Here is a 10,612-nt window from a genome sequence, read left to right on the forward strand (position 1 = left end):
TGCACACCTGGCACCTGAGGTTCCTTCCTGGGATTTTGCTTTGAAAATTCTGGTCAAGTTTTCATGGTTGATTGATTGGTTGGTTGACTGATTTGTTGTTTGTAATACTGTTTTATTCCAAAAAGGATTCCAGGTGGACCAAGAGTATGCATTCTCTCCTAGAGGAGTCAGAAGGATAAACGCGGTTTGCCCACCTGTCAATCACTGCTCTATTCACTTACCAGACCCATCCCCACGTTTAGTCTATGAATGGAGGCCCAGTGTTTGCAGTCTGACTCTGGTCCATGGCTTCTTAATCACCTCAGACCCTCTGCCCGCAGGGTCTAATGGGGGTAGAATTAACCTTGGCCAGGTCACTTAGCTCAGCCCCACTGCAAAGAGGCTGGGTCCTCAGAGTCCCTGAGCTAGTGACCCAGGCAAGGAAGCACAGAGCTAGGGGACACTCGGCAGAGCCAGATCATCGTCTTCACCTCTTTCTGCAGAGCTAAATACCTCCAAGAGGAGGTCCTGCAGGGATCACAGCCTGGGTCAGAGCCCACCGGTCTGCCTGGCCAAAGCCAGGACAACTCTATCCTGTCACCAGCTGGCTTCCCTGGGCTCTAGGCCACTGGCCTCCAGCCATGGGCCAGGCACCCAGCCATGCCAGGGAGCCAAGCAGCCCTGGCACTGACAACCCTGTAACATTCTCGTAGGTCTTGGAAGGCTGAGATGGAACCAGGACACTCTGTCGAAAATATGTCTCCATCCTTAGGTAGGGAAGGCCTACCAACCATTTCCTAGCCCTGCGGCCTTCCTTCCAAACCACATCCCACACCACCACCTGTCCCTGCCCCGTGCCTGGTCCCACAAGGACAGGGGAAGCTTACCCTTCAGCTTCTGCCACCTCCAGACCTCCTGCCCTCCTTTCACATCATTTTGCACTCATGTTTAACTTTGTCCTTTTATACCTCTCCAAGCCCTGCCTCTTATGCTCCATCTCCAGCCCTGCCTTCAAAACCCACTTCAGCTATCACCTTCTCTGAGAAGCCCTCCTAACTACGCCACCACCATTACCAAACCAGAGTTCATTTCTGCCTCCTCTGTGTGTCCTGGGTGTCTTGCACAAGCTTCATTCAGTTAGTCTCCCTACCATGAATTGCAGGGCAAGTAATCTATCTACACATCTGCTTCTCCTCTGTGCTGTCACTGCCTTCCAGGCAAGGCCTGTTTCTGTAATTATTGCATCTCTAATACCTGCTACAGCACCTCACCCACAATAGGGCCTCAACTAACATTCACAGACCCGAAGCCCTGTCCTGGGGTGACCAGCTCAGCCTGGTTTGCCCAGGACTCCCTCACTTTTAGCAATGAAAGTCCTACATACTGAGAAACCCCTCAGTCTCTGGCAAACTAGGATGGTTGGTGCCCCTCCTCTGTGCCCTTCACTTGGAGCTGAGAGTTGGAGTCCTCGAGTAATGTGAGACCTGTCTGCAAGGCTGTTATCCAAGTCCATGATGACTTCGGGGCAGGGTGAAGCACCTCTAGGCATAGTTTCCACCATACAGGCCTGAGCATCCAGAGAGTTCCAGAATGGATTCACATGACTCAGACTTCTTCAGAAATGGAACACTTTGGAAGCCATCTGGGATAGGAAACGGAGGCCTGGAAAAATGGAAAATGGCCTACCCACGATGGCACTGGAAGACGGAAAGACACAGCAGAGTGACAGCAAGGATACTAGACTGGGAGTCCCAGGACTTATAGGCCCAGCTCCACCATGACACAAGCTGCCTTCACCCCTGAGAAAAAGAATACAATGGGCAGATGTGGCCCGCCTGCCTCCATCCAGGCAGGGCGAGGGGAACTAGCAGTTAATGAATGAATCCTCCGCTCTGTGGCACAAGCTCTCCACTCATTATTTTATTGAATCCTCTCAACAACACTGTGCCGTTTTACAGAAGAGAAAACCAAGGCTCAGAGAAGTCAAATGATTTTTCTAAGCTCAACCAGCTGATGGTAGTGCTGGGTTTCTAGATCAGCCCCAGCCCTTTCCACTACACCACCAGGCCCTCAATTATTGTGGTTCAAGTTCCTGCAAATCCAGCTTTCTCTGGGTCCCAAAGTGGCCAGATGTCAGGTGCCCCATTGTTGCTGAATCCGACGCTCAGCATCAGGGAGAGGAAGGAGATCTCAAGTGGCACCAGGCTGTGGGTGTCCACCCTAGGACAGAGAAGGGCGTGGGCAGAGCAGGCAGGAGGCCACTGTCCACAATACTCCTCTGAAACCCAGATCTCAGCGGGGAGAAAAAGGAAGGAGCTGTTTAACAATTAAACCTATCTTGTTCAGAAAGAAGTGAAGGGAAATATTGCTGGGGATGGAAAGCATGAAAGGAAGACGCAAAGGAGGAATGAATAGTATTTGCAGCCGATGAAAGGAGTAGGGGCAGAAGTGCGGGTCGTGGGTGGCCAGGGGGAGGAGCCTCCCGCCACCTCCAGTTTCCACCAGCCAATGTCCTCACAACACTCTACTACCCTGGGCGCTGTGTGTCTGCAGATGAATTAGACACAGGCTCTGCTCTGCGGACACCGCCACCCACTCTAGGAGGGGCAGCACTACCCTCGTTTCTTAGACGCCCCCCCTTCTTTCTAAAGTCAAACCTACAAGAGCAAGGGCTGAAAATTTGCTTCTAGCTGAGCCCATGAAATGGCCTCGCCCCAGTTCCTGTCCCATTCCCAGCAGATGGTCAGAGGCTTCCACAGCCACAAGAAGACCCTGCTACCCGGCCCCCAGCAGCTTGGCGGGCCCACAGCTTGACTCCACCCCCTTCCTGGAATACAGGGTGGCATCAGCTGCCCAGCCAGGACTGGGGAGCCTCTTGAAGGGGACCTGCAGGGTTCCTGTCTAGTTTTGAGCCAGCCTCAAAAGTGACAGATGAGCTCATTAACCTCAGGAGCCACCAGCCCGGTCCTGCCTGTTCTCCCCCAGCCCCTGCTCCTCCCAACCTATCTTTCTGGCCCAGGCCCCCGTATCTTCTTTGCAGCCTCAAATAGCTGTGTTTCTGAAATGTAAAGTGCAGTTTCTCTTCTAATTACAAAAATAACAGCTGACAAACACACGCCAGCGGCCCCCTCTTTTCCTCCTAAGCTAACAGCCCCATTAGGGCAGATCCTGTTATCTTCCATGCCCTCTCCATATATTTTATGGAACCTCAAAAGTACTCTGTGTCTTGCTCTCTCTCGCTCTCCCTCCCTCTCTCTCTCTCCCTTTCAAGGCGATAGCTTTGTGAAAGCTGAGGAGGAAAATAAAGCCTTTTACTAAAATGTCACTCTGGGAAAAGGTGGGGAAGTTTTCTAATAGGCCATCGAAGGCTTGCTTTTTTTTTTTTAAAGTGTGATAAATTTGGCCTGTCTTAAAAAGACAGCTCAGTGTTGCTTATCAACTGTGATTTGACCAGATAGCCGTTTCAAAAAACAGACACTGGTCTTTTTATAATAAATGAAAGCAATAAAGCCAAGAGCTGGGCCAGAACTATAATTAAGAATCAGAAGCTAAAAACAGTGGTGTGTCCATGGAGGGCAGAGTCCTGTCTTTGGGTAGGAGGGAGTGGGCAAGACCGGCCGGAAGTCCTGGGATCATGACAAGGGGGTGCTGGGGGCAACACCCCATAGGATGAGGAAGGCGGCTGCTCTTGCTCCAGGTCAGGGAGATGTGCCCTGTGGTACCACTGTCCCCTTCTCTCCTCCTCTCACTTTGGGAGCCTTCCTTCCCTGGACAGATGGGCCTATGGGTGGAGAGGAGGGGCGAGGAGAGGCTCTTCCCCACCCCCAAAGCCAAATCAGATGCCTATTTGAAATTCAGCCAGAAATCCCCCTCCTTGCTCTGTCTGTGCACAATAAACATCACAGACTCGGCTACTCCTAAAGAGCTGTCTGTTTAACACAATCTCCATCTCAAGCGGCTGTTTTGCATTTCCTTTTGGCTTTATTAAAACTGATTTTCTATTTGCACTATAAAAACTGATCTGATTAAATTTCCATTTTTCCCCAAAGAAAAGACTCTCCTCTCTCTCCCTCTTTCTCTCTCTCTCTCCTCTTTCTCTCTCCCCTCTGTTTCTCCTCGCCTTCCTCTCTTTCCTCCCTCCCACTCTCCCTTGCCATTCCTTTTTCTCTTTCCCCAAACAAATAATTCTTGATTATTCTCCCTCCTCATCTTTCTCTTCTTCCCCCACAGGGTCCCTGGCAGTTTCCATGGGGATGGCCATGGATGATGCTCCTAGGGAGGGAACAGAAGGGAGCTCCCACCCAGGGAAGCTGGAGCGGGGTAGCGGGAGGCCAGTGGGGCATCCTCTGTCCCAGATATCCCCATGGGCACCTCACAGTCAGGGAGAGGGTGGGGGTGGATGGCATCTGGTGCTGCCCTCAAGCTCCACGTGCTATGGTTTTAACAAAGTGAAGGCTGTGGGTTCAAACCTCCCATGGGCCACACAATGCCCTCCTTGTGTTCAGGGCCCCACCCTGGCTGAGTTGTGTGTTGACTAAGCGCACAGGGGATGGTCCAGGAGGCAAAAGAAGACTTGCAAACCCACCATCGCCTATGAGTGAGAGGCCACACCGCTTAGCTTTGCATTTTTGCTTTTCTCTCTTTCTGGACAAAAGAGGACCTCCTGTCTTTGTCATCTCTGTGTAATGACAATGACTGCCATCACTCATCAAATACCCACTATGAGGTGTGCACCAGGTCAGGGCAAAACACACACCATCTCTATGATTCTTACTCCCACTCCTGGGGAGACCATCTCAGAGAAGTTAGCGAATTGGTTCATGGGAAGAGGCAAGCCCAGGAGTACCAGCTCCAGAGCCTGGGTTTTAACCACTGCACCACCCTGCCTCGTGGAAAGAGGGGACCCTTGTGCAGGACAAAGTCAGAGTGCCCAGAGGCTCTATAGAGAAGAGCTCAGGAAGGCATCTCAGGTGAGAAGACTGGCTGATGAAGCAGTTCCACTCTGTCCTTCCAAGGGCCACCCCGCCCCAGGTTTCCCCACTTGCTGGGATTCCCCTGACTCTCCTCTGTTGGCCCCCAGGGTGTACGCCTGCCCTTAAAACTCCATCCTTTCCCCTTGATGCAGCTGAGGCAAGCTGGCATTTAAGAAAGATTTTTTTTTAATGTTTAAGGAAAACAAAACATAAAGAAAGATAGGAAATACAAACATCAGGCACCAGCTTATTTCCCACTGCATCAGTGCACCTATGCATTAGCAGTAATTATTGAGGAATGAGTGAATGAATGCACGTGTGAATGAATGAAGAGCTTACTTGCTTACTAGCCAAAGCAAAAAAAGGCACTGCTAAGCTTTTCTACACAACTGGGGCTGTCCACTCAGGGCTGGATTCCAGTGTAAGAGGCCAACTGCCCCAGTCTAACAGATAGAATGGCAGGTGCTTGACTTGCACACCAGAAAAGCCTTCACCTGTCAGGTGAGACCCCTCTCCCACACTCAGGGGTGGCGTTCCTCATGAAAGCCACCCAGTATAACACTTACCCCTGCAGAAGCCATCCCATGTGCATAAGAAGAATTCACACAGATTCCTAACCATTCATCCCTAGTTACTGTCCTCTCTGGATCTAAGTCAGGACGTCCAGACCCACCAAGTCCCTTCAGGCTCCCACCCCCATATCTTGGTTCACTCTGGCCCCCAGCAATTGGGGCTCTCTTTCAACCACCACTGGTTGCACGTGGACCTTGTGTGAGACCCAGGGAGCCTTAGGCTGGCCAGCAAAAGCCCTGGTCTGCAGACCAACGGAAGAGGTGAATTATGCCCCAGATAACTATGACACAGGTAGCAGGTGGCAGCTGCAGAGGAGAGCCACAACCGTAGAGAAAAGTGCTGTGGACACTCAGCAGGGCAAGAGACTTTTGTTCTGGTGGAGGGAAGGGGAAAGGCTTCGTGGAAGAAGCCTGTCAATAAGTCCCCGTATTCCGAAACATAAAGAAGGATTTTCCAAGCAAAGGGACCACCTGAGCCAAAGCTTGGATGCTGAAAAAAACAGGAGTGACAAGCCACTCAGTTTGCTCCGGGCAGGGTGTGGCAAGGGGGACAGTAGGAAAGAACACCAGTGGTGGGCTGGGCCAGGACACAGAGGGCTTGGATGTCACAGTGCAAAGGGAGCCCCTGGGAGCCAAGTGCCTTTCTCCTTCATCTTTACCTGTCTAATCCTCCTTGCCCTCCAATGTGCAGTTGAAAGCCCACTTCCTCCAGGAAGCCTTTCCTGATCTCTCCAGGAGGGCTCTGTTCTCTGCTAAGCTCCTCTGCACTTACACTCAACACCACTCACTGGACTTGAAGAATTTAAGTCCTTCCAGGTGCCAGCCTGGCAGAACCACTGTCACCAGGACAGCAAGCTCCTGCTCTCCCCAGCATTTGACCATGGCTCCTCCCTCCCTCTCCTACCCATCTCCTGCTTGCTGACTTCTGCCTGCCCATCCTCAGGGGTGAGGTCCAGGAAGCCTTCCTTATCCTAGGCCTGTCATCTCTGGCCCTACATCATCCCATGCTTCCAACATCCACACCGCATGAACATCCCTGCTCATGCCTCTTTCTCCTCCACCAGAGCATGGGCTCCTCATAGGCATGGACTATTTCCCTGATCCCTACATTCAGTGCACCCAGCACAGTGTCTAACACAGTTTGGGTCTTCAACAAATGTTTGTTAAATGAATGGACAAACAAATGAAATACTGCCTTGTGAATATCTCGCATTGTGGTTTTGGTTTGCTGTGTAACCCCCGTGGAAACATTGTTCCTTCAGTTTGCAAGTCCCCTAAGGGCAGGTGCCTATCCTCATACCCTCAGCATTTAGCACAGTGCTGTGGTTACACAGGTGTTCCCCACCTTTTTGACCAAAAAATCTGGATCATGTGGTTTGAACTAAGTCTTATACTTGAAGTCTCAGGAAGCTTCCCAAAGGAAGCAAAGCCATGTTTCTGCAAGTAGGGATGATGCAGCCCCGTTGGAGGCCTGAGGCAAAGAGAGCGACCTCCAGAGCCCAAGCCCCATGAGGGCAGGGGTCTGTGCCTGCCTTGTCCACTCCTCTGTCCTGTGCCTGGCATCTAACAGGTGCTCAGAACGTACTTGCAAAAAGAAATGTGGTCATGCGCAGAAAGCCACCTCGACAACTGTAAACAGCGTATAAAGGTTTCTTGTGATAACCGTCTGGATACAGGAAACTAAAGAGAGAAGAATGCCTGAAAAACAGAATGCTGGGGGTGGAGCGGGGAGCAGTGGTTTGTGGGAGAAGATGCTGAATTTGGTTCTAGACATTTTATGGTGACAGCAAGACATTTAAGAAGAGATGTCCTGCAGGGTGCTGGATTTATGAGACTACAATTCTGGTAAGAGGTCAAGACTGGAATGAAAATTTGAGTGTCTTGGCAAAAAAAAGAGAAGAGCTACAAATGAACTCCTGCAGGAAGTGAATCTAGCAGCAGGAAGGCAGCACCAGCAGGGATCTTGAGGGACAGACCCAGGGTGGGGGCAGAAGTGCAGCCAAAGAGACTAGGAAGGCACGGCCAGGGAGGTGGAAGGCAACTGGAGGACAGTGTGCACATGAGGTCGAGGAGAATGAGCCAACTCCTGCTTGCTTGTGGGATTTTTCCCATCTTCTGACAGCTTTCAGCTCTGCTCTTTCTCAGGAACGGTGTGATCAGATCCTGCTTTAAAACCTGGCTTAGCTCTGGACTCCTGTTCTGCAGGTTCCTCTGCCACTGCATACCCACTCATCTTCCCTGCTCTCCCTCCCTACAATCAGGCCACCAGTAGGACCACACAGTATCACGGGCCCCTAATATGTCATAGATTTTAAGAAAAAAAAAAAATAGACTCATGAAGCATCACATCCCTCACTCTCATGCTACAGATAAGGCCCAGAGAGGGAGCTTAACCTGCTGGAAGTTGCACAACTAGGAAGTGGCAAGCAGAACTAGATGTCAGGTCTCCAGTGGCCCAGGCTAGTGCTTCTCGGTTTCTACCCAGTGCATTCGACAGAGGAAGCAGAGACCCAGAGGGAAAATATGACCTGCCCAAGATTCACAGCTGGGCCAGGCTGGGGCCAGAATCCAAAGACCAGATTTCCAGACCACACTCTTGCCCTACTGCCTGCTGGTGTCCCAGCTCCTCAGGCCAGCCTCAGTGCCCACAGTGCTCCTCAGACCAGGCAGATGCAAGCTCGCAAGTCTAGACTGCAGGGCAAAGATCTAGGACCCACAGCCTGACCGCTCCCCTCATCCATAAACCTCTGCTCAGAAAAGTTCCCCAAAGACAAGTCTCCTTTAAGGGCAAGGCCCCTTTTGCTCTAAGAGCAGCGACTCTTAACCTCACTTCATCTACACCTAAAATCTGGGCCAAAGAGACAATTACAAGGCCTTTACCGTCCCCGCACCCGGAGCTGCTGGCTGCTTAGAAACCCCTGGCCCTCCTTGTCCTGAAGCTGCCAATTTCCTCATCAGTATTTTATTTGTCTGTTTTGCTCATTTTTAAGCTGGTGGCAATTGCTATTTAAATTGTTTTGTAAAGTGTCTTTGCATTTACAATGCCGGCTGTCAGCAGCCCCACAATAGAAAATGAGATTTGGCATCAAAGGCAAAGACGCTACTAAAATACATTTTAATAAATATGTAAATCAATTAATCAATCACCCATCCAGGGAAGGAGCTTCAGGAACACAGACAGGCTGGCTGAGAGGGAGAAGGTGGGGAGAATGTGGGGTCTGAGGTGGCAGAAGAGGCTCCGCAGGCACTGAACTCAGGGGTTCTGGGCACGTCGTGGGCAGCCAGCCCCACCTACAGTCTGGGGCATCTGGCCTCGCCTGGCCTCCCACCGTCCTGACTCTGCCTAACTGGGCTCCACATGGTCTTGCCACAGCAGCCCTGGTCAGGAAAGGGCAACAGGGTCCCAGTGAAGTACAGATAAAATGAGCTTTAGGGCTAAGATTGAGGAAACGAGCCCTCTGGTTGGAACCCCCACTACCCCCGATTTCTTCTCCACTGATGCTGTTTTCTAGAGAAGTCAGAGATTAGAAAGTGCTTGCAAGGTTTATGTCTGTAAGTTGGACCAGCCTGGAGGATTAGCATCAGAAAACTTCAGGAAGAAATGACCAGCTGTTCTCTCTATTCCTGAAAGGGTACCAAAGGAAAGAGGCTTAAGCTGTCACAGGCAGCTGGGCGGGGCATCGGGGTGGGGGTGGGGGTGTGGGGGCAGGTCGCTCTTGGAAAGGGTCCTGACTAGGAAAGTAAATATGACTCTGGGGACAGGATGGAGGGGAGACAGAAGGGGGCTACCAGTCAGGAGCTTTTAAAGCAGGAGCCCAGCTGAGAGCAGTGACTCATGCCTTGTAATCCCAGCACTTTGGGAGGCCAAGGTGGGTAGATCACCTGAGGTCAGGAGTTCAAGACCAGCCTGGCCAATATGGCAAAACTCCATCTCTACTAAAAATACAAAAATTAGCTGGGCGTAGTGGCACATGCCTGTAATTCCAGCTGCTCAGGAGGCTGAGGCACAAGAATCGCTTGAACATGGGAGGCGGAGTTTGCAGTGAGCTGAGATCATGCCACTGTCCTCCAGCCTGGGCGACAGAGTGAGACTCTATCTCAGTCAATCAATCAATCGATCAATAAAGCAGAAGCCCAAACATACACTGTATCAGATGAGCAAGACTGGGGTGTCTGATGGTAAGGGGGCTCGGCCACATTGTCACAGATTCTCAGCTTGCACCAAGGTGTGCTATAAGCGGCATGATTCTGGCCAATAGAATCTGAGCTCAGGCTGGCAGATAAAACCTCCAAGCCTGGGCTGCATAGACCCAGCAAAGCCTCCTGCAGCCCATGACGTATGGTTTGCTAATGAGGGTGCCTCAGGGCTATAGTAAGGTGCATCCTCACATAGCTTTCAGTGGGACCTTGGGCAAGTCATTTTTGCCTCTAGGCCTCTGTCTAGTCACTAGACAGTGCAAGCAGGGACTGGGCAAAATGAATTCTAAACTTGAAAACTCTCTGACTCACTTTCCCCATCACTGTGGACATAGAATCAATGTCTTCCCATTACAGCTGCCAGCCCTTTCTTGGCTGTCAGCGTAAGTTGGTCTGACCCTGAAGACCAGAGAGACCCATCTGAGGGGTATAAACACCTCCACAACCCAGGCTATGGCAAGAATGGTGCAGATCCACAGAGGAAGCCAAAGGCTCCAACCCCAGCTTCTCTCCCACCCTCGTCCTCTGCATTCACTCCCAACTCCCATCCCAACCTCCTCCCCTGGAAGAGGTATGCCCTCTAATTGAAGACCTGTCTGGCCCCCAAATAACCTCATTTTTTAAACTGATGTCACCTGCACCAGAGGGCAAACATTCCTGTCAGGGCGGAGAGCATGCACACATATCCACCCTGTGTGCCTAGGTGTGGGTGCAAATGGCATATACATGGGTCGTGTTTCATGAGCACGCAGGAATGCATAACTTTAGGCTTCTCTGAGCACATTGCTGTGTGTATAAATATATGGCCCTCTGTTGCTCAGAGTGTGAAGACTCAGGCAGGTCCATCTACATGCATGCACATTTTGGTGGGTCTATGTGAGTATGTGAATG

The 10,612-nt window shown here is 51.2% G+C and overlaps 2 annotated features.

Moving 5' to 3' along the window:
* Positions 2,750-3,299: an enhancer, noted in NCBI's record as "H3K4me1 hESC enhancer chr11:116375709-116376258 (GRCh37/hg19 assembly coordinates)". NCBI's record gives its function as "activates a minimal SCP1, AML or CMV promoter by ChIP-STARR-seq in naive H9 embryonic stem cells {active_cell/tissue: H9 hESC(naive)}" and the evidence as "EXISTENCE:reporter gene assay evidence [ECO:0000049][PMID:30033119]".
* Positions 4,390-4,890: an enhancer, noted in NCBI's record as "H3K4me1 hESC enhancer chr11:116377349-116377849 (GRCh37/hg19 assembly coordinates)". NCBI's record gives its function as "activates a minimal SCP1, AML or CMV promoter by ChIP-STARR-seq in primed H9 embryonic stem cells {active_cell/tissue: H9 hESC(primed)}" and the evidence as "EXISTENCE:reporter gene assay evidence [ECO:0000049][PMID:30033119]".

The sequence above is a fragment of the Homo sapiens genome, chromosome 11 (assembly GCF_000001405.40).
Source record: "Homo sapiens chromosome 11, GRCh38.p14 Primary Assembly".
Taxonomy (NCBI): domain Eukaryota; kingdom Metazoa; phylum Chordata; class Mammalia; order Primates; family Hominidae; genus Homo; species Homo sapiens.